At 49.2% G+C, this 24,061-nt stretch overlaps 3 annotated features.

The window, feature by feature from the left end:
• Positions 148-442: a silencer, noted in NCBI's record as "tiled region #12668; K562 Repressive DNase matched - State 6:EnhF". NCBI's record gives its function as "represses a minimal TATA promoter and a strong SV40 promoter by Sharpr-MPRA in K562 cells {active_cell/tissue: K562}" and the evidence as "EXISTENCE:reporter gene assay evidence [ECO:0000049][PMID:27701403]".
• Positions 7,128-7,422: an enhancer, noted in NCBI's record as "tiled region #10396; K562 Activating DNase unmatched - State 5:Enh". NCBI's record gives its function as "activates a minimal TATA promoter and a strong SV40 promoter by Sharpr-MPRA in K562 cells {active_cell/tissue: K562}" and the evidence as "EXISTENCE:reporter gene assay evidence [ECO:0000049][PMID:27701403]".
• Positions 8,886-9,485: an enhancer, noted in NCBI's record as "H3K27ac-H3K4me1 hESC enhancer chr20:345627-346226 (GRCh37/hg19 assembly coordinates)". NCBI's record gives its function as "activates a minimal SCP1, AML or CMV promoter by ChIP-STARR-seq in primed H9 embryonic stem cells {active_cell/tissue: H9 hESC(primed)}" and the evidence as "EXISTENCE:reporter gene assay evidence [ECO:0000049][PMID:30033119]".

Consider the following 24,061-nt stretch of genomic DNA (forward strand, 5'->3'; position numbering starts at 1 on the left):
TTTGGGAGGCCGAGGTGGGTGGATCACCTGAGGTCAGGAGTTCAAGACCAGCCTGGCCAACATGGTAAAACCCCATAACTACTAAAAATACAAAAATTAGCTGAGCATGGTGGTGCATGCCTGTAATCCCAGCTACTCGGGAGACTGAGGCAGGAGAATTGCTTGAACCCGGGTGGTGGAGGTTGCAGTGAACCAAGTTCACACCATTGCACTCCAGCCTGGGCAACAGAGCAAGCCTCTGTCTCAAAAAAAAAAAAAAAAAGTGCTTAGCCTGATTGGCCTATTGCCTGAGTGTGGAGCTCCTGTCTTTGGGTGGGAAGGAGATTTCTCAGCCACCTTGAGAACACACTTCCTCTAGTTCTGAAAGGAATGTGAGGGCCAGGGTGTGGGAGAGGGGGCTGAAGCCAAAGGTAAGATCTTTTCCAGGCCTGGAAGAGTAATTAACCCCTTTTGGCACTCACCAGGGGCTGGGCCTTGTTCTTAGTGCCTTACAGAATTCGGGAATTCATTTAACCAGGACGACAACCTCTGAGGTGGCGGCTATTATTCTCAAACCTAGTTTTTCCTAAACTCCAGGCTTGCGTTCCCATCTGCATTCACCTGGATGTTGAATTTAAACTCAACTATCTCAAACTGTTCTCCTTGTTACCACCCCTCCCTGACCAAACCTGCCTCTACTATGCTGCCCACGTCTTAGAGAGTAGCGTCCCCATTCTTCTGGCTGCTCCAGCCAAAACCTCCTCTCTTTCCTCACACCCTGTATCCAATCCATCAGCAAGTCCTGTCAACTCAACCTTGGAAATATATCCTGTACCCAACTACACCTCGACATCCCCGTGGCTGATTCCATGGTCTGAACCACCAGCGACCAGCGCCTCGATCTGGATCATTGCACCAGCTTCCCCCGGTCTCCTGGCTTCTGAGTTTTGAACCCCACCCTACTCCACGCCTTGACTCCCCAAGTCTAATTACTACACAGTAGCCAGACAGATCTTGTTAGAACATAAACTAGGTCATGTTCCTCCTCCGCTCCAAACCTTCCCATGGCTCCCACCTAACTCAGAGTAGCCAAAACCCTCCCTGTGGCCTCCAAGGCCCTACACAATTTGCTGATTTCCACTCCCCCCGCACTTTCCTCTGTAACCCCAACTCCCACCACTCTCCAGGTTCCTGTGTCCTCTCCAGCCAGGATCCTGACTCAGGGCCTTTGCCTCACTGTTCCCTCTGCTGGGGTACTCCTCCCCAGTTGACGACATGGGCAGTTCCTTCAAGTCGTTGCTCAAACATCACCTTCTCAGCAAGGCCTTCCCTGAGCAGCCTATTAGAATTGCAACCAGGCCAGGCGCAGTGGCTCAAGCCAGTAATCCCAGCACTTTGGGAGGCCGAAGCAGGTGGATCTCCTAAGGTTGGGAGTTCGAGACCAGCCTGACCAACATGGAGAAACCCCGTCTCTACTAAAAATACAAAATCACCCAGGCATGGTGGCACATGCCTGTAATCCCAGCTACTCGGGAGGCTGAGGCAGGAGAATCACTTGAACCTGGGAGGCGGAGATTGTGGTGAGCTGAGATCGCACCATTGCACTCCAGCCTGGGCAACAAGAGCGAAACCCCATCTCAAAAACAGGAAAAACAAAAAACAAAAAAATGCAACCATGCCGGCCAGGTGGAGTGGCTCACACCTGTAATCCCAGCACTTTGGGAGGCCAACGTGGGCAGATCACCTGAGGTCAGGAGTTGGAGACCAGCCTGGGCAACATGGTGAAACCCTATCTCTACTGAAAATACAAAAATTACCCAGGCATGGTGGCACGTGTCTGTAATCCCAGCTACTTGAGAGGCTGAGGCATGACAATCACTTGAACTCGGGAGGTGGAGGTTGCAGTGAGCCAAGATCGCGCCATTGCATTCCAGCTTGGGCGACAGAGCGAAACTCCATCTCAAAAAAATAAAAGGAAGCTAACACAGAGTATAAATGGTGCAGGCAGTTTGACAATATCAAAATAGAAAATACACATGCCCTTTGATTTCTCCCTCTTATGCAGGTGGATCTATAGATTCAACTCTACATGTTGGAACACTATAGTATTATTTGTAATTAAAGCATTTGGAAACAACCTAAATGCTCATGGTAGGGGACTATTAATAAAATACGGTAAGGCTGAGTGCAGTGGCTCACGCCTGTCATCCCAGTACTTTGGGAGGCCAACGCAGGAGGATCACTTGAGGCCAGGAGTTCAAGACCAACCTGGGCAACATAGGGCAACATAGCAAGGCCCCATCTCTACAAAAAATTAAAAATTAGCTGGGCATGGTGGCACACGCCTGTAGTCTCAGCTATTAATATTTGGGAGGCTGAGGCAGGAGGATCACACCACTGCACTTTAGCCTGAATACTGAGTAACAAAGCAAAACCCTGTCTCTCTTAAAAAAAAAATTGGGGGGAAGGACAAGTCTTTTTTCTTTTCTTTTCTTTTCTTTTCTTTTTTTTTTTTTTTTTGAGATGGAATTTCACTCTTGTTGCCCAGGCTGGAGTGCAATGGTGTGATCTCGGCTCACGGCAACCTCCGCCTCCTGGGTTCAAGCAATTCTGCTTCAGCCTCCCGAGTGGCTGGGATTATAGTCATGCGCCACCACACCTGGCTAATTTTGTATTTTAGGTAGAGACGGGGTTTCTCCATGTTGGTCAGGCTGGTCTTGAACTCCCAACTCCTGGCCTCGGCCTCCCAAAGTGCTGGGATTAGAGGTGTGAGCCACCGTGCCCAGCCAGGACAAGTCTTCTTACAGAAGAATTCCAATTAGTAAATGTAGAAGGATTGAGAGAAATTGAAAAATCATCATTAGAACACCGGAATAATAATTGCTGCAGGCAACATCTACCAATGAACAATAAAATGAGTGGGTGAAACTTTAAGGAGAAACAAGGTTTTTTTTTTAGAAACGGGATCTTACTACATTGTCCAGGCTGGTCTGGAACTCCTAGGCTCAATGGGATCCTCCCACCTCATGCTCCCCAGTAGCTGCTACTACAGGCACATACCACCCCACCAGGCTTGAAACAAAATATTTGCATAGCCTCAAAGTATCTATCCCCAAATATGTATTAATTAGTATGGTGGTTTTAACATATGCATACATGTTCTTTGATGCTCTGCCATCTAGGAAATGGAGCTTAATTTTTCTCCTCTTGAGTGTGGGCTGGACTCAGCAACTTGCTTCTAACAAGTAGAATGTGGAAAGGCAAAAACAGTGACTTCACAGTGGAAAAATCTGGCAGACACCACCTTAACCAAATGAAGGCTGGCACCACCAGTCAAAAGTCTTGTTGATATCACAGCCTCTGAAATGATGTGGTGAGAAGGGCACTTGGCCTGAGTGGCATTCTTCCCCCAAATCCGTAACGTCAGCCTAATCATGAGAAGACCCATTCTACAAAAGATCTGACCAGCACTCTTCAAATGTGTCCAGGTCACGAAAGACAAGGAAAGGACAAGAAACGGTCTCAGGTTGGAGGAGACTAAGGAGACGTGGCTGAAGGATACACAGGATCTCCCTGTACTGTCCATGTAACTCTTCAATAAATCTACAATTATTTCAAAATAGCAAAAAATACGATTGCTGGCCGGGCACAGTGGCTCACGCTTGTAATCCCAGCACTTTGGGAGGCCAAGAAGGGCAGATTACTTGAGGTCAGGAGTTTGAGATCAGCCTGGCCAACATGGTGAAACCCTGTCTCTACTAAAAATGCAAAAATTAGCTGGGCGTGGTGGCATGTGTCTGTAATTCCAGCTGCTCGAGTAGCTGAGGCAGGAGAATGGCGTGAACCCGGGAGGCGGAGCTTGCAGTGAGCCGAGATTGCGCCACTGCACTCCCGCCTGGGCCACAGAGCGAGACTCCGTCTCAAAAAAAAAAAAAAAAAAATTACTGTGGTCAAGATGGAATAACAGGGATCTGGTTTAACACACCCCAAAAAGGACCTAAGAAAGGACCATTCCCTCTCCTCTCTGAGGTGGGAAGATCTGGGAAGGAGAGGAGGCTGACCAGTGGGGTCTACCTTCTGCTCCACCCCTCTTCTATCCAAGAGTCTGAGCACCCAACCCCCACACCACCCTGGAGGCTCCCGCCCTCGTGCTGAGTCTGGCATGCCCTCCCCATCCCTACTGGCCCAGGGGACTAGGTTAGCTCAGAGAAGCCCTTCTAACTCACCCACAACTGGACCAAAGAAGGATTGATCTGGGGCCACTGCCTGGTCCCTGGGAGCACTGTGCTAGGGCAGGGGGCTGAGATGCCCCAGGGTAAGAGACAGAACAGTGATTTTTTTTTTTCTAAGACAGAGTTTCGCTCTTATTGCCCAGGCTGGAGTGCAATGCGCGATCTTGGCTCACCGCAATCTCCGCCTCCCAGGTTCGAGCGATTCTCCTGCCTCAGCCTCCCGAGTAGCTGGGATTACAGGCATGTGTCACCACGCCCCCCGGCTAATTTTGTACTTTTAGTAGACACAGGGCTTCTCCATGTTGGTCAGGCTAGTCTCAAACTCCTGACCTCAGGTGATCCTCCCACCTTGGCCTCCCAAAGTGCTGGGATTACAGGCATGTGCCACCGCACCCGGCCAAAAACAGTGATATTCATATAGATGGGGGAGGGATTAATGGGGGTGGAGTGAGAGAGAGCCTGCTGGAGCAGTCCGAAAGGCAGGCATTCCTTCTGTTCAGCAACATTCCTGCCCCCACAATCTCCTCCCACAACTTATATCTAGTGCAGGCTGAGAGTGAATCTGTCTGCCAGTGTTCAAGCCACTGTGTGAACCTGAGTTTCTTAACCGTTCTGAGTGTCAGGAGTTTTTTTCATCTCCAAAATAGGAGCAACAAGGATACCAATCCCTTGAGATTGTATGAAGCTTAATGCACTTAACACAGCACCTGGCACGTAGACATGCTCCCTAAATGCCAGCTGTTATTATGAAAGAGAGAAGTCTGAGGTTCAGAACTAGCAGGCAACACATAATCTATAATGATGGATGGCTCAGACAGGGTCCTGTCCTATAGGGACTCACAGTCTAGTGGAAAGGACAGTCCTGTGGACAGCAAATGGCAATATACCTGGGTAAGTACTGTAATAGAATAACAAAGTAATATCCTATCACGGGGCAGTCACGGGGGCAGTGAGAGACAAGCGCTTGTCCATGCCAGGCTCTGTACTCAGTCCATCACATACATTAGGTCTTGCAGTCCTCATACCACCATAAGGTGGTTACCATTATCTCCAATTCACAGAAAAGCAAACAGTATGGAGTGTTTAAGCGTCCTGTCCGAGATGGCATAGCTAGTGGAGCTGAAATTTGAACCCAAGTAATCCAGGTCCAGAATGCCCCGGATGCAGAAATGACCACACAGATTCTACCAATGAACTAACCTGATAAGGTTGGAGGTCATACTCATAACCCCTCACACAGGTCCACACAGACACAGGCAAGCACACCCATGTCTATTCAGATACACACCAATTCCTGTCTATGACGAGCGCTCAGAAAATCCTCCACAACACCACACCAGGAATGATGTGCATTTTGAGAAAAAAAAAAATCAGCTCTGAAGACCTCACAGACACATGCAGTGAAATGTAAATGGAGGGACCCACCCAAGTTCTTGAATAGCACATTACATGCCTGGATGCACATCAGCGGGCATGTAAATGATGACGAGGAGGTCTGCAGACACTGACACGCTGCATTTGCACTCACTCTGCTACTGAATTTTTTAGCAGCTACATTTACTGAGCACCTACTGTATGTAAGGAAAGATAAAGCAGCCGGGAGCTGTGGCTCACGCCTGTAATCTCAGCGCTTTGGGAGGCCAAGGCAGGTGGATCACCTGAGCTCAGGAGACCAGCCTGGCCAACATGGTAAAACCTTGTCTCTACTAAAAATAATACAAAAATTAGCTGAGTGTGGTGGCATGCACCTGTAATCCCAGCTACTCAGGAGGCTGAGGCAGGAGAATCGCTTGAACCCAGGAGGTGGAGGTTGCAGTGAGCCAAGATCACGCCATTGCACTCCAGCCTGGGTGACAGAATGAAACTCTGTCTCAAAGAAAAAAAAAAAAAAAAGTAAAAAAGATAAAGCTCAGAGAAGTGAAGTGGCTTGCCCAAAGTCAAATGGCTGAGATTCAAACCCTGGCCCTATAATATTAGGCAACGGTGTCTCCCTCCACCACTGTGCAGATGCATCCATGAGTGAAGAGATGTGCTATGGCTGGATTCCCTCATTGACATTCCCTGTGACCTTGGACATGGCATGGCCTTGTCTGGCCCACATTCTCATGTTGAGTCCATTCACAGGTGTGCTCCATGGATGTGCATGGATGGGACCGGCAACCCTGGCCTTGCTCTGAGTCTCAGCTTGGCTTGGTGTCACCAGGGCTGTGAGCTTCCAATCCCAGCCTTGCCATGTCCCAGAGCACATGGCTCAAAACCAAGCTCTGGGCATCAGGCCAGCAGGGCCCCTGTGATGGAAGAACTGACAGGATTTCATAAGCATCCGGCCCGGGACACGTGGTCAGGGCAGGGAGAAGGGAGATAAACAGGATGTCCACCAGGGTGTGCACCTGGGCAGGGTCCATGGACCAGGTGTGGCAGGGGAAGAGCTGTCAGGACTTGGCATCTGATGGGCACTCAGCAGATATAGGCTGTGTGAGGGGAGGAGTTTGTGGGGAGGCAGGGCTGCAGCTTTGCTTCCATCCTGGAGGCCAGGAATGAGGGAGTAAGTGAGCCATTGACTCAATGAATGAATGAATGAGCGAGTGAGTGAAGGAAGGAAGGGGTAAGTAAATAAGTGAAGAATGGAATGGGGGAGGGAGTGAATTTATTTATTTATTTATTTATTTATTTTGAGACAGGGTCTTGCTCTGTTGCCCAGGCTGGAGTGCAGTCTCAGCTCACTGCAACCTCTACCTCTCAGGCTCAAGGGATTCTCCCACCTCAGCCCCCAGCATAGCTGGGACTACAGGCGCATGCCGCCACATCCCGCTAATTTTTGTATTTTCTGTAGAGATGGGGTTTCGCTATGTCGGCCAGGCTGGTCTCAAACTCCTGGGCTCAAGCGATCTGCCTGCCTCAGCCTCTGCAGTGCTGAGATTACAGGTGTGAGCCACCGTGCTGAGCTGTGAATTTATTTTTTACACAAATCTGAGTGCTCACTCTGTGCTGGCCCTGGACGGGTCTCTGTGGATGTCTGGTGAGCAGGATGGACACAGCCCGGTCATTGCAACGCTAAAAGCTTGAATGACACCAGTCAGGCTGGGGAACTGGGAGGGCCCTTGACATGCAGAGTGACTCAGCCAGTGTGAGCAGGGGTTGTCAGCATGCCTAGGGGAGCAAGAGACTGTGAGAGATGTGTGTGTATACTTGTGTGCCTGTGTGTGTCCGTGTGTACACATGTGTGCGCCGACACAGCCAGGTGTTGGCCAATGCAGGTGTGGTGTCCTCAAGAGCACAGTGCATCCTGATTCTTCACCCTCCCAGGCCTCCCCTGCCCCTGTTGTGTGCCAGCTGGGCCTGCCCCATGTTATGCCTGACGCCCACGCAAAAGCTGCTTCTTCCAGTCACAGGACAAAGGCATCCTCAGCCCAGACCCTGTACCCCAGGGGTAAAGACCTCTCAGACCCCTAGTGCTCCTCAGCATGGACCTCTCCACCAGGAGCCTCAGAGTTGTGAGAAGCACAGGCACCCAAAGCCCACCGCCCTGTGTCCATGTGCATGGAGTGTGCCCAGGTACACGCAAGGGCTGGAGATGCCCCAGGGCGGTCCAGACAGACGTGCAGATGACACATTGGCCACTGAGTTTCCACAGACACTGAGCTAAGTGCTTTCGAGACACACTGGGTGACCTTAGGCGTATCACCCTCTCTGAGCCTCAGTTTCTAATCTAAAAGTAGGGTAATTATACTCACTTCCAGTCTTGTTAGAATAACTCAATGCATGATCAGCTCAACACATCATGATTATTTTTCCTGAGTTCCTGCCTTCCCAGCTATATTGTCTATTCCTCAACAGTACCCACTGAGTCTTATATCCCCGTTTCTCCTATGATACTCCATTACACAGGACTCAAATAACTACCTGCTCTAAGAATTGCTGAGTGACATGTAGTCCTCATAAATAGCAATAATAGTCACTAACATTTATATAACAACAAGAGCCAGCAATTTTGATTTTTTATTGTGTCAGGCATTGTGCTGAACACTTTACATTCCTTCATTCATTTGACAAACATTCACTGAACACCTGGTAGGTGCTGGGCTCTGTGCTAGACCTGCAGATGCAGCATCTCTGCCCTCAAGGTTCTTACATTCTGATGGGGAAGAAGAGACAGACAAAAGACAGTTTGGCGGGGCACAGTGGCTCACGCCTGTAATCCCAGCACTTTGGTAAGCCGAGGCAGGCAGATCACTTGAGGTCAGGAGTTTGAGACCAGCCTGGTCAACATGGTGAAACCCCTGTCTCTACTGAAAAAATACAAAAATTAGCCAAGTGTGGAGGTAGGCATCTGTAATCCCAGCTACTCGGGAGGCTGAGGCACAAGAATGACTTGAACCTAGAAGGTGGAGGTTGTAGTGAGCAGAGATCGAGCCACTGCACTCCAGCCTGGGCGACAGAGCGAGATTCAGCCTCAAAAAAAAAAAAAAGATAATTTAATACATAAATGGGATAATTTCAAACCTTGACAAGTGCTACAAATAAAATAAGGAAGAGTTATGGATTAGAGACAAACTGCAGGGATTAGGTGGGGCATGATGCTTGATGAGTGATCAGGGAGGGCCTCTCTGAGGAGCAAATATTTGATCTGAGACCTGAAGAAGAAGGAAGAGCCTGGAAAGATACAGGAAAAGTTCCAGGCAGATGGCATAGCAAGGGCAAAGGCCCTGGGGCAGGAAGAACTTGGTAGGTTCGAGGACTAGGAGAAAGGGACCATAGCTGGAGGATGATTCAGCAAACCTGGCAGGTCTGTCCTGGATGACTCAGCAAGCCTTGCAGGTCTGTTCTGGTTTCAGAACCCAGGCATTTTGTCCTTCACTCCAGGCTGCCTCAGAGACATGCATCCCTGCCATACACAACAATGTGTGCACGCTGGCACACATGCACATGCATGCACACACACACTCTGCATGCTGACACACAACTAAGGGCCGGACCAGCCATGATAGTCTAAGACACTAACATTTTTCTCTAGTGTCTTGTGGGGCCAAGTAGAAGGGCCAGATGTCACCTTTGCCCAGCCTTCCAGAAGTTCTGGGCCAAAGAAAGATTAAATGGCAGGAAGAGAAAAATGGCTTAATAAGGAGGTGACGGGGAACTCGGGTGGCCTGTGGGGGTGCGGAGATGGGGGGAGATGATAGAGATGTGAGAGCCCATGGGCACATCCCCTCTGGGGAAGTGAGGGAGCACCGAGAACAGAGAAGCAGAGGGAGTGGAGACGGTTCTCAGAAGCACAGGGCCTCCACACTCACCACAGCCCCTACTCAGCCGACATGCCTTGCTTCCTCTCACCTCCCCTGGTTCACCTCAGAGATGGGACACTCATTGCCCACCAGGGCAGCCTGGGTGGTGCCAACTGTGAGAGAGCTCCCCTTCCACATCTGCCTTTGTGGCTGTAAAATGTGGAAAGAATAAGAGAAATACCTATGAAATCTGCAGGAAGATACTTTCTTTTTTTTTTTTTTTTTTTTTTGAGATGGAGTTTAGTTCTTGTCGCCCAGGCTGGAGTGCAGTGGAGCGATCTCAGCTCACTGCAACCTCCGCCTCCCAGGTTCAAGCAATTCTCCTGCCTCAGTCTCCCGAGTAGCTGGGATTACAGGTGCTCGCCATCACACCCAGCTAATTTTTTTGTATTTTTAGTAGAGATGGGGTTTCGCCATGTTGGGCAAGCTGGTCTCGAACTCCTAACCTCAGGTGATCCACCCACCTCAGCCTCCCAAAGGAGGCTGGGATTACATTTTTCTAAATCAGTTCGGTAAAAATCAAAAATTTTGAGAACACCTGGTGTTGTAGTTCTGGGAAGCAGGTACTCACATGCTTTGCTGGCAGGAGGTAGATTGATAACAATCTCTATAGAGGAGGAGCCAGAGATCTCTCTTAAAAGTGCAAATGCACAAACTTTTGACTTAGAAATTCTGCTTCTGGGCAGGGCGCGGTGGCTCACGCCTGTGATCCCTGCCTCCCAGGCCAAGGTTGCAGTGAGCTGAGATCGCACCATTGCACTCCAGCCTGGGCAACAAGAGCGAAACTCTGTCTCAAAAAAGAAAGAAAGAAAGAAAGAAAAATTCTACTTCTAGGAAATTAGCTCAGAACTTCTCTCCACACCCCCATGTATGAACACTGCAGCATTTTTTGTTATAGCAAAAGACTGGAAATAATTAACTGTTCATTGACAAGGGATGGTTTAAATAAACCAGTACATTCCTAACCATGGAATAGGACCAAGCTGTAAAAACTGACCAGGCAGGTCTTTCTGGACTGACACGGAAGAGTCCCCAAGATAAATTGTTAAATAGGAAGGAAAAAGGCAATCTGAAGGACATGGAGTGTGCTCCCATCTGTGTAAAAAAGTGACAATAAATCCTCATATTTTATGTCTTGAAGGAAACACGAGAAAATGGCTTGACCCCAGGAAGATGAACTAGGAGCTGGGGATAGGAGTGGGAGGGAGACTTCTCAAGTATTACTCTTCTGTGCCTTTGAATTTTGAGCTAAAATATTTAAATAAAATATTAATATAATTAATATAATACAATTAATAATTAATATTGAATAAAATAAAATATCTAAAAATCTGCTCCCCGGGTGCGGTGGCCCACGCCTATAATCCCAGCACTTTGGGAGGCCAAGGCTGGTGGATCACCTGAGGTCGAGAGTTAGAGACCAGCCTGACCAACATGGAGAAACCCCGGCTCTACTAAAAATACAAAATAATTAGCCGGGAGAGGTGGCGCATGCTTGTAATCCCAGCTACTCAGCAGGCTGAGGCAGAAGAATCGCTTGAACCCGGAAGACGGAGGTTGCAGTGAGCCAAGATCGCACCATTGCACTCCAGCCTGGGCAACAGAAGCAAAACTCCGTCTCCAAAAACAAACAAAAAAACAAAACAAACAAACAAACAAAACCACAACTGTCTGCTCAAAAGTGCCATCCTCCTACACACTCCTTGCCCTCAGCTAAGTTCTGTCCCCATGGAACTCTCCCTGGAAGAGACAATCTGTCTCCCAAGAGAGCAGGCCTATGTGTGAGTCCTGGTTCCATCACTGACCCTAAGTGTGACCTCAGGCAAGACACTCCCACCCCTGACTTGTACTAGACAGTTCTCCCCAGCACTGACATTCTGTCTCTCCTGCTGGAGGGGCAGGAGGGCAGGCACAGTGTCTTCTTGCTCTGTGATTCATTCAGTTCACTTAAACTGAGTTACCTACTCCAGGCCAGAGTTTGGGTTCATCCATTTCTTGCCCTCCATGCCCACCCCAGGGTCTGGCATGGGAGTTGGTACCCTATAGGAGTTCTGAACAGACTCAGCTTACGGATGAGGAACAGACGGTGGGTCAGATGCGCGGTAAGGAGGGTCAGGTACACGGCCCATGGGATCGAATAGATTCATGGGTGGGTCTTTAAGACAACCGCCTTCACTCAATCCTAAGCCCTCCCCACAGCTACCACCCTATTTTTTCTCCCCTTTGCAGAAAAGGGCTTTGAGAAAATTGTCTATCCTCGCTGTTTTTAATTAGTCTTCTCTCTCTCTCTCCCTCTGAGACAGGATCTGCTCTCTCACCCAAGCTGGAGTGCAGTGGCGTGATCATGGCTCACTGCAGCCTCAACCTCCTGGGCTCAAACGATCTTCCCACCTCAGCCTCCTGAGTAGCTGGGACTACAGGTGTGCACTACCATGCCTGGCTAATTTTTGTATTTTTTGTAGAGACTGGGTTTTGCCATGTTGCCCAGGCTGGTTTTGAACTCCCAGGCTCAAGTGATCCATCCACCTCAGCCTCCCAAAGTGCTGGGACTGCAGGTGTGAGCCACCACACCTGGCCCTCTTGTCTCTTAAGTCCATTTAATCATGCTTCTACCTGTCACTTCCCTAGTTGAAACTGCTCTTGTCAATTTCAACACATTGCTAAATCCAATGTGTTCAGTTCTCATTCTTCATCTTTTTTTTTTTTTTTTTTTGAGACAGAGTCTTGCTCTGTCACCCAGGCTGGAATACAGTGGCACGATCTTGGCCCACTGCAACCTCTGCCTCCTGGGTTCAAGCGATTCTCCTGCCTCAGCCTCCCGAGTAGTTGGGACTACAGGCACAAGCCACCAAACCCAGCTAATTTTTGTATTTTTAGTTGAGACGGCATTTCACCATGTTGGCCAGGATGGTCTCAATCTCTTGACCTCGTGATCCGCCCACCTTGGCCTCCAAAAGTGCTGGGATTACAGGTGTGAGCCACCGCACCCGGCCCATTCTTCATCTTCTTAACTGATCAACAGTTTGACACAGCTGACCACTCCCTGCTCTTTGATGTACTTCTTTTCACTTGGTGGCCAGGCCTCCACTCTCTGCTGGTTTTCCTCCTTCTCAGGCTCCCTGCTTCTCCCATTCCTGTTGGAGCAGTGAGGACTTGGTCCCTGGAGCTCTCATCCAGTCTCACGTCTATGACTCCCAACACTGTATCCTCAGCCCAGACCTCTCCCCTGAACTCCAGCCCATACATTCAAATACCTACCTGATGTCTCTTTGAGGATGTCAAAAGACATGACAGACTCCACAGAACCAAAGCTGAACCTGGGCTTCCCCCAAACACCTCGCTCCATGTCATTTGATGGCAGTTCCATACCTGTCACCGTTCAGGCCAAGAAACCTTGGAAGCACCTTGACACCTCCTTTTCCCTCAAACTCCACATCTAGACCATCAGCAATCCTGTTGGCTCCACCTTTAAAATATACCCAGAATCCAGTCACAGCTCACCTCTAGCATGGCCACTGCCCTGCTCTGAGCCACTGGAGTTTAAGAGAATTATTGCAACACCTGCTCCCTTGTCTTCCTGTCCTTGCCTCATTCAGTCTATTCCAAGTACAGATCCCTAAATGATTTTATTTTAAAAGTAAGTCAAGGCTGGGCATGGTAGCTCATGCCTGTAATCCTAGCGCTTGAGGAGGCCGAGGAAGGAGGATCACTTGGGTGTAGGAGTTTGAGACCCACCTGGGCAATGTGGCAAAACCCTGTCTGTACTTAAAAAAAAGAAAAAAAATGGCTGGGCATGGTGGCTCACCCTGTAATCTTAGCACTTTGGGAGGCTGAGGCGGGTGAATCACCTGAGGTCAGGAGTTCGAGACCAGCCTGGCCAACATGATGAAACCCCATCTCTACTAAAAATACAAAAATTAGCCGGGCAAGGTGATGCACGCCTGTAGTCCCAGCTACTCAGGAGGCTAAGGAAGAAGAATCACTGGAACCCAGGAGGTGGAGGTTGCAGTGAGCCAAGATCGCGCCACTGCACTCCAGCCTGCATGACAGGAGCGAGACTCCATCTCAAAAAAAAAAAAAAAAAAAAAAAGGTAAGTGAGATCACTTCCCTCCTCTCCTTAAACCCTCCCCTGCCTCCCCATGACTCCTCAGCGTCCTTTCAAAGGCCTCCAAAGCTCCAGATTATCTGAACCCCCTTTACCTCTCTGACCTCATCTCCCACCGCCTCCCTGTCACTGGCTGCACTCCAGCCACATTGACCTTCTCCGATGGCACACCAGTCAGCTAGTCAGCTTCCTTTTGGAGCTTTTGCATGAGCTGTTCCTCTTCCTGAAGAATTTGCCCTTCGGATAGTCTCAGGGCATCCACTGAACACTCCACTCAATACAGCCACTGCCTGCCCACCCAACACTCCTCATCTCTGTACTTACTCTTTTTTTCCCTTGCATTCGTCACCCCCTAACATGTGCTACAATGTACTTATTATGGTAATTATTTCTTGCATGTTTCTTTCTTTTTTTTTTTGAGACAGGGTCTCACTCTGTTGCCCAGTCTGGAGTGCAGCAGCATGATCTCAGCTCACTGAAATCTTGGCCTACCTGGCTCAGGCCATCCTCCCTCCTCTGCCTCCTGAGTAGCTGGGACTACAGGCACTCACCACCATGCCTGGCTAGTTGTTGTACTTTTTTGTAGAGATGAGGTTTCACCATGTTGCCTAAGCTAGTCTAAAACTCCTAGGCTCAAGTGATCCTCCCGCCTCAGCCTCCCGAAGTACTGGGATTGCGGGTGTGAGCCGCTGTGCCTGGCTGCACTTTTCCTTCTAATGGAATGTAAGCGCCACTTTTGTCTGTTATTTTCACTGTAGTATCCCTAGCCTTTGGAATGTTGCCTGGCAAGTAGTAGGTACTCAGTAAATATTTGTTGAAGAAACGGATGATTCTATAAATAGCATGGATTGATATGGGAAAGCTATGTAGGTGGATGGATGGATGCTTGTCGGATGGAGGGTAGATGAAAGAACAGCGAGAAATTCGAATGGCTAGATGGTGGGGATGCATTATAAAATAATAATTCATAGATGGAAAAGGAATGAATAGATGGGTGGAGGGATTTAATCTCTTCAACTACTATTTACTGACCACTTGCCGTGTGCCAGGCACTGTATGAGGTGCTAGAGACACTGGTGAGCCACACAGGCAAGGTGCCTGTCCTAAGGGAGCCTGTAGTTCAGTGGGTGAGGCAGACACTAAACAAATAACAAATACATACATAATTCCAATTATAGTTAAGTGTTCTGGTGGAAAAGAACAGGATGCTCTGGGAGAGAATAATATGGATAAGTGATGGAAAAATGGACAATAAATGGGTAGATGGAGATGGATAGGATCGGGGTTATTTGCCTTAAAGGGCCTGGCTTCAGGACTGGAGCTGCTTTACCTTAAAGGGCCTGTCGGACCACATGTACCATCCCACATCCCAGACCAGCTCTGCACTCAGAGACTGTCCCTCTCTCCCTGCCCTGACTCAGCACCTGCCTGGCCTATCCCCAGTGGTCCTGCCTGACTCTACCTCCAGCTCCCACCCTGCTGAGTCACAGTCAGGCTGGTCAGGGGGCTGTCCCATGTTCAGTCCAGCCCCTCAGCCTTCCTCGACCTGGGGGGGTATGGGGAGCAGCCCAGAGGGGAGGGGAGCAGGTGCCAAGCTCTTGATTCCTGTGCCTGAGCACTGCCCTGTTGAGACCAGAGAGAGAATCTATGGCTAGGGTATCTGGGGCTACAGTTGGGGTTTATCTGGGGCCTGGGGTCACACATGATGGATTAGAGCTAAATCTATCTCCAGGGTTATAACTCAATCAGGAGCTAGAATTCAAATTCAGTTTATGGATCATGTGGGGAAAAAGTGACCAAGACACCGTTCAGTTTGGGACCTGGGTCGGCGTTAGCTGTGGCTACGGCCCAGGGCTTAGTGATCACAGGTCAGACCATGTTCAAGGTTTCAGGCCAGAGTGCAGTTGAAGTGCAAAGTCAGGCAATAGGGTTCACCCTAGGACCACAGTCAAGGATCTGGGTCAGTTAGTGTCCAGGGCACTGGCCTTGTCTCCTCTTCTTTGGGAGAGAAGCCAGGTGGATGAGTTGGATCTAAATGTCCTGAGGAGCAACTTCCAGCTCAAGTTCCTTCACCCAGGCGGCCTAAGCCCTCTCAGCACTGGCCCCAAAGCCTTCCTTCATCCCTCAACTTCCTCCATCACTCCCTGACAGCCTGGCCTTGCTCAGTGTCCCTCGCAAGGCTGAACAGTCCTCATTCTGGCACCTCAGGGGACAGGGTAGGGGTGGGGACTATGGGACAGGGCTCAGTGCTGGACCCAGGAGGGCGCCTTGCGCAAGGTTTTCTGATGCAACTGGCTGAGTGCTTCAGCATTCCACCCCCACCCCCCAAGCTTTTCTCAGAAAGGCAAGGCCTGGGCAGTTATCCAGACTGAACATATAATCCCCTTCCTTCTCTGGCCTTTGATGGCTTCAGGACCTGCAGGCAAAAGGAAGGCAGGAAGGCAGGCAGGAAGGAAGGAAGGTCAGGTGACTCAGCAATGCGTCCAGCACTGGGAGCTGGCAGATCTGGGGCTCCCTCATCCTCCAGCTGAGAGGCGAGAAAGAGAATCAGGATCCCTGGAAGTTTGGAGATCCTAACCCCTTATACATACAAAGCAGCAATTATGTGCCTAAGCCCAGGGAGAGACCTGTAGCTGCCCAAGGTCAGAGGCAAGGTCAGAACCAGACCAGCTGTCTTCAGCCCATGGCTATGATCTAGCTATTTCCACTACACAGAAAGAGAGAACCCTTCACCCTTGAGGAGGACACGGGACTTCCCCAGGAACCTCCCGTCAATCCTGTTGAGGCTCCTGAAATGGTGGAATGACGTGGACTTTGGAACCACGCAGACCTGGGTTTAAATCCCAGGCCAGGCACGGTGGCTCATGACTGTAATCCCAACACTTTGGGAGGCTGAGGCAGGCAGATCACTTGTGGTCAGGAGTTTGAGACCAGCCTGGCCAACATGGTAAAACCCCATCTCTACTAAAAATACAAAAACTAGCCAGGCGTGGTGGCACACGCCTGTAATCCCAGCTACTCAGGAGGCAGAAGCGTGAGAATCGCTTGAACCCGGGAGGCGGAGGTTGCAGTGGGCTGAGATCATGCCACCGCACTCCTAGGTGAGAGTGAGACTCCGTCTCAAAAAGCCACACTGGCTAGCTGTGTAACGCTGGGCAGGTTACTTTCACTCTTTGACACTGGATTTGCTCACTTGCAAAGTGGGCGTAAATGCATCCTTAGCTCACAGGGCTGTGGTGAGGCTGACATGAGGAAGCACTGGAAGGCACAGCTTAGGCTCCACATGGGCCACTCTCAGGAAGTGTGTCCCCACCTCCCCCTTTATCCTCAGCTCTCACTGGGTGTGTTTGCTGGGGAAGGAGGTGCAGCAGCCCTGGGGCCTTGGAAATAATAATAGCCACTCACCCTCCAGTGCTTACCATGTGCTGGGAACTCTCCTAAGCGTGAACTTAACCTGTATTAGCCCATTTAACCCTCCATTTAATCCAATAACAGTTCCCAGGCCAGGCATGGTGGTGCATGCCCATAGTCCCAGCTACTCAGGAAGCTGAGGCGGGAGTATCGCTTGAGCCTGGGAGGTTGAGGCTACAGTGAGTCATGATCACCCTACTGCACTGCAGCCTGGGCAACAGAGTGAGATCTTCTCTCAAAAGAAAAGAAAAGAAAAGAGGGAAGGAAGGAAGGAAGGGAGGGAGGGAAATCCCAATGACAATAAGCAGTTCAATAACCCTACAGGAAAACACTGTCATCAATCCCACTTTATAGATAGGGCTGTGGGTCTGAGTAGCTAAGTGACTTTGTCCAAGACAGTGGACAAGAGACCACACGGATTTTGAGCCAGGCCAGCTGGCTCTGAATCCCACTGTCTCCTCCCTCCTTAAACTAGTGATGTCACTGCTCTGAGCCCTGGTTTCCTCATCTGTCTCCAGGGATAAAAATAGCAGCTTCATGGGGAAGTTTGAGGATGACACAAGATGACGTAAGGGAGGTCCCCACACAGGGCTCCACCCACAGGCATGAGAAGAGCCTTTCTCAGGAAGAATCCCAGGCCGCCCCTGGGGCAACCGCCGGGCTGGCCTTCCTGCCTCTCCTTAGGCCCAGCCTAGCGTGATCTGGATGGTGAGAGATTTCTGCAAAGCCCCCAGGGGCCTCCAGAGAAGGGAGGTGCCCGGTCTCCTAGATAAGGGCTCCCAGAGAGGATCACAGCCCTGGAGTTGCCATTCTTGAATCACCCACTGTCTTCCCCAAGTTGATTGGTCTGAATCCATGTACTTATTTTTTATATTAGTTCCATAATGTCTTCCTTCCAACCAGCTCATCTTTTACTTATTTATTTATTTATTTATTTTATTTATTTTTTTATACAGAGTCTTGCTCTGTCACCCAGGCTGAAGTGCAGTGGTATGATCTCGGCTCACGGCAATCTCTGCCTCCTGGGTTCAAGCGACTCTCATGCCTCAGCCTCCCAAGTAGCTGGGACTACAGGTGCATGCCACCACGTCCAGCTAATTTTTGTATTTTTAGCGGAGATAGGTTTTTGCCATGTTGGCCAGGCTGGTCTCAAACTCCTGACCTCAGGTGATCCACTCACCTCTGCCTCCCAAAGTGCTGGGATTACAAGCATGGACCACTGTGCTTGACCACAACCACCTCATTTTAAAAAACTTATCTAAATTTATTTAACATGGAAATTTTAAATCACTGACCTCAAATAGAAAACTACTATGATTTGCCATAAAGAAGAGGTAAGCATACAATTACATACAAAAAAAGCAGAACCAGGTTATTCCATTCCAGCTAAATCCTGTTTCTTGCTGAAGGCTCCAAGCTGAACTCTGCTGTCTCATTCTTAACAAGAGAGGTGTTAAAAACATAGAAGCTGTGAGGCCGGGCACGGTGGCTCATGCCTGTAATCCCAGCACTTTGGGAGGCCGAGCGAGTGGATCACGAGGTCAGGAGATCGAGACCATCCTGGCTAGCACGGTGAAACCCCGTCTCTACTAAAAACAATAACAACAACAACAACAATCAGCCGGGCGTGGTGGCGGGCGCCTGTAGTCCCAGCTGCTTGGGAGGCTGAGGCAGGAGAATCGCTTGAACCCGGGAGGCAGAGATTGCAGTGAGCTGAGATCATACCACTGCATTTCAGCCTGGGTGACAGAGCAAGAGCAAGACTCCGTCTCAAAAACAAACAAAACAACAACAACAAAAAAAAAAACCATACAAGCTGTTGGCCGGGCGCGGTGGCTCACACCTGTAATCCCAGCACTCTGGGAGGCCAAGGTGGGTGGATCACGTGGTCAGGAGATCAAGACCATCCTGGCCAACATGGTGAAACCCTGTCTCTAGCAAAAATACAAAAATTAGCTGGGTGTGGTGGCACACGCCCATATTCCCAGCTACTGGGGAGGCTGAGGCAGGAGGATGGCGTGAACCCGGGAGGCGGAGCTTGCAGTGAGCTGAGATCACGCCAGTGCACTCTAGCCTGGGTGACAGAGCGAGACTCCGTCTCAAAGAAAAAGAAAAAAAAAAAAAGAAGCTGTTAAATGAGACTTTCTCCCTGAGTCTTTGGAGAAACAGCAAGAAAACTGAAAGGGTTTAAGTGTATCACAATTATGATTCAAAGTTATGTCATACGGTATCTGGAGACCCTAAAACCCTCTGGCACTCAGCCATTGTTGTACATGGTATATTTCAGAAAACACTGACCTCACTGACCTACTCCAACTTTCTCTTCTTATTTTACAGATAAGAAATTTGAAGCCCCCGCAAAGGGAGGTGACTTGTCCACAATCTCACAGGCTCAGTGGCTTCAGCCAGACTTGGAACGCAACCAGAAGTTCTAAGGCATCATGTCACTTTTGTGGGGGAAATGTATGAAGATGAAAAGTTTCAAGGACACCTATGGTGGAATTTTAGGCATATGGCAATCACTAGGGACACCCATGTGGAAGGAAAGGAGGCAGGCATGGCTCATGTCATTGCTGTGGGCCCCACATCAGTGCTGGGGGTCAGAGACGGAACTCATCAGAACTATAGCAAAGAGGCCGGGCACAGTGGCTCACGCCTATAATCCCAGCAGTTTAGGAGGCCAAGGTGGGCGGATCATTTAAGGTCAGGAGTTCGAGACCAGCGTGGCCAACTTGGTGAAACCCCGTCTCTACTAAAAATACAAAAACATTAGCCAGGTGTGGTAGTCCACACCTGTAATGCCAGCTACTCAGGGAGCTGAGGCAGGAGAATTGCTTGAACCCGGGAGGCAGAGGTTGCAGTGAGCCAAGATCACATGCCACTTCCCTCCAGCCTGGGCAGCAGAGCGAGACACTGCCTCAAAAAAACAAACAAACAAACAAAAAACCAAACCTATAGGAAAGAGAAAAGCAGCCTTCTGGGCTCAGAAATCTGAGTAGAAAGATGTTCTGAGCCTGGAGAAAGAAATTCATAAAAGCCTGACTCTCTCTCCAGAAAAGAGTACATTTCTGCATTTAATTTTGGGAGGTTGGTCACCATTCTTTTCCTCGCTTCTAAATAAATGCTTATATAGCATTTATATTCCAGTCACTTTACAAATATTGTCATTTAATTCTCATGCAAACCAACGAGGTAGGAACTATTGTTATCCCCATTTTACAGATGGGGAAACTGAAGTACAAAGAGCTGAAGTAACTTTTCCAAAATAGATGTGGTTTTGAACCCAAGAAATGTGATACAACTATGACATGAGGCAGTCCCAATGCATTGAATCCTTATGACTGCAATGCAAGGGAGGTATAATTAACTGCATTTTATAGATGCAGAAACTGAGGCTTGAGGCTATTTGGTGTTTCTGGTGTAGATCTAGGAGCCAAACTCCAGCCTACCTAGACTCTTTGCCTCTGCTGTACCCCTGGACCATGTGTTAGGAATTCTTGGTACAGGGTGGTAGTGCTCAATATGGTAGTGGTTTTAGTCTGTTTTCTGTTGCTTATAACAGAATGTCTGAAACTGAACAATTTTGAAAGAAAAGGAATTTATTCCTTACAGCTATGGAGGATAGGAAGTCCAAGATTGAGGGGGCACTTCTGGTGAGGGCCTTATTCCTGGTCTCTGAAGTGTCTGGAGGTGGCACAGGGTATAGCGTGGAGAGGGGACTGGGCATGCTGACATGCTATGCTTTGGTCTCTCTTCCTCTTCTTATAAAGCCACCAGTTCTCCTCCTGTGAAAACCCACAAATCCATTAATCCATGAGTGGGTTAGTCCATTCATAAGGGCAGAGGCTTCATGATCCAATCACTTCTTAAAAGTCCCAACCGCTCAGTACTGCCACATTGGGGGATTAAGTTTCCAGCACATGACATTTGGGGGACACATTTAAACCATAGCAGTAGCCATTTGCCACATGTGGTTATTGAGCACTTCAAGTATGGCTAATGTGGCTAGTGTGACTGAGAATTTTTTATTTTATTGAATATTTTAATTTTTTTTTTTTTTTTTGAGATGGAGTCTCACTCTGTCGCCCAGGTCAGAGTGCAGTGTCATGATCTCGGCTCACTGCAACCTCCGCCTCCCGGGGTCAAGTGATTCTCCTGCCTCAACATCCCGAGTAGCTGGGATTACAGGTGTGTGCCACCATGCCCGGCAAATTTTTGTATTTTTAGTAGAGACAGGGTTTCACTGTGTTAGCCAGGACGATCTTGATCTTCTGACCTCATGATCCACCCACCTCCGCCTCCCAAAGTGCTGGGATTACAGGCATGAGCCACTGCGCCCAGCCTCACATTATATTTCTATTGGAACACAGAATGGTCTAGAGAATTGGGATTTGACAAACCCAGCTGTGACAAGTCACCAAAATTTGGGGGCCATACCCAGGGTGCCGTTCCTGTCACGATACCCATAGGTCCATGTGGAGGCTGCAGGGATACAAAGCTCGTGAAATATCCCAGGATGGCATGGGCACTGGAGTCAGCTGCCCCAAGTTCAAATCTGAAATCAGTCTTTTTGTTTTTTTTTTTTTTTTGAGATGCAGTTTCACTCTTGTTGCCCAAGCTGGAATGCAGTGGCGCAATTGGCTCACTGCAACCTCCGCCTCCTGGGTTCAAGCGATTCTCCTGTCTCAGCCTCCCGAGTAGCTGGGATTACAGGTACATGCCATCACGCCCGGCTAAATTTTTGTATTCTTAGCAGAAACCGGGTTTCACCACCTTAGCCAGGCTGGTCTCCATCTCCTGACTTCAGGTGATCCGCCTGCCTCAGCCTCCCAAAGTGTTGGGATTACAGGCGTGAGCCACCGCGCCCAGCCTGAAATCAGTCTTATACGACCAGCTGGGTGGTCTTGGGTAGGTCCCTTACCTTAACTCTTCTTGTCTGCAGAATGGAGGTGACTTACTGTTTTTCTCTGTCTCCCTTTCACATCTTTGCACTCTTCACCCCTTCTCTTCCCTCAGCTTTTAGTTTAAACATCACCTTTCTGATAAGCCCTGCTGAAAATGGCCACCCTCAGTCATGACGGAGAACAAGTCTTTCCTATTTTATTCAAGAAAATGCATGATGCAATCTATTTTAAATGATCATGGTTTTAATTTTATTTTCCTGATAATGGTCTATCTCTCCACTGATTTATAAGATTTGTAAGAGCAGGGGTGGATCATTCTGGTCACTGCTGAGTCCCCAGCATTTAGAACAGGGGCTGACACAGCACAAAACAACGTTAGTTGGGAATGTACAAGCAAACCCAGCACACCTTCAGAGGGGTGCTCAGGAAACAGCCCTCCCACCTTTCTTCACCCCTCACAGCTGTGGGATCTTCCTAACCATTTCGGTGTCCCAGGATAGAGGATGAGTTTATTCACCCCTCCCCAGCAGGGGAGTTGCCAGGATTAAATGAGATCCCAGAATGCCCTGGTATACCCTGAAGGCTCTGGGACACAGGTGAGCTGGTCCCCAGGGATTTGGAAACAGGAAAACAAATATGACTCCACCCTGCCTCCCATCCAGCCTCTGCCTAGAGGAGTTATTTTATTTTATTTTACTTTTTTTTTTTTTTTGAGACGGAGTCTTGCTCTGTCGCCCAGGCTGGAGTGCAATGGCGCAATCTCAGCTCATTGCAACTCCTGCCTCCTGGGTTCAAGCGATTCTCCTGCCTCAGCCTCCCGAGTAGCTGGGACTACAGGTGTGTTTTTTGTATTTTTAGTAATTTTTTGTACTTTTAGTAGAAACGGGTTTCACCGTGTTAGCCAGGATGGTCTTGATCTCCCGACCTCGTGATCCACCTGCCTCAGCCTCCCAAAGTGCTGGGATTACAGGCATAAGCCACCACGCCCAGCCTCTAGAGGAGTTATTTTACTTACTTACTTATTTATTTATTACACAGGATCTCACTCTGTCACCCAACCTGGAGTGCAGTGGCACAATCACGTTTCACTGTAACCTGAACTCCTGGGCTCAAGTGATCCTCCTACCTCAGCTTCCTAAGTAGCTGGGACCACAAGCTCGTACCACCATGCCCGCTATCTTTTTCTCTTTGTAAAGACAGGGTCTTACTATGTCATCCAGGCTGTTCTCAAACTCCTGGCCTCAAGCAATCCTCCCGTCTTGGCCTCCCAAAGTGCTAGGATTACAGACATGAGCCAGCTCACCCAGCTGAGGAGTTATTTTTTGACACTGGTGAATTCAGATCAAAAGGGATTTCTAAGAAAGGTGCTGGACCCAGGCCGGGCGCGGTGGCTCATGCCTGTAATCTCAGCACTTTGGGAGGCCGAGGCAGGTGGATTATCTGAGGTCAGGAGTTCGAGACCAGCCTGACCAACATGGAGAAACCCTGTCTCTACTAAAAATACAAAATTAGCCAGGCATAGTAGCGCATGCCTGTAATCCCAGCTACTTGGGAGGCTGAGGCAGGAGAATCGCTTGAACCCGGGAGGTGGAGGTTGCAGTGAGCCGAGATCGTGCCATCGCACTCAATCCTGGGCAACGAGTGAAACTCTGCCTCAAAAAAAGAAAAAAAAAGAAAGGTGCTGGACGCCTAGGACGCAGAGGGGTGTTTCACCCCAAATCAAGTAGCACCAAGCCCTCCCAGGCCTTGGGTGCAAGCATATTAAAGGCCTCTTTCCCTCTCTGTCTCCATTGTTTACACTCCACTGAGCATCCGCAATGTGCCACACACTGTTCTAAGCGTCTTACACATATTAAATTATTTAATCCTCACAACAACTTTATGAAGTGAGCGCAATTATGAGCCCATTTTATGGAGCAGGAAGTTGAGGCAGGGTTTTAGGTAGCTTTTCTGGGGTAGCACTGTGGGTTGGAGCGGAGGTGGAGTGCACTCTTAGGCCAGCTGGCTCTAGGGGCTCTTCACCACTAGGCCGCACTGCCTCTAGCAAAGGGACGCGGGGAAGCTCAGCAGACCTTAGGCCTCCCAAGGGCGCCACGGTGGTTCCTTTGAGCCCAGAGTCAGCTCTTAAGTCCATAGGCCTTCCTGAA

Source organism: Homo sapiens, chromosome 20 (genome assembly GCF_000001405.40).
Source record: "Homo sapiens chromosome 20, GRCh38.p14 Primary Assembly".
Classification (NCBI taxonomy): Eukaryota; Metazoa; Chordata; class Mammalia; order Primates; family Hominidae; genus Homo; species Homo sapiens.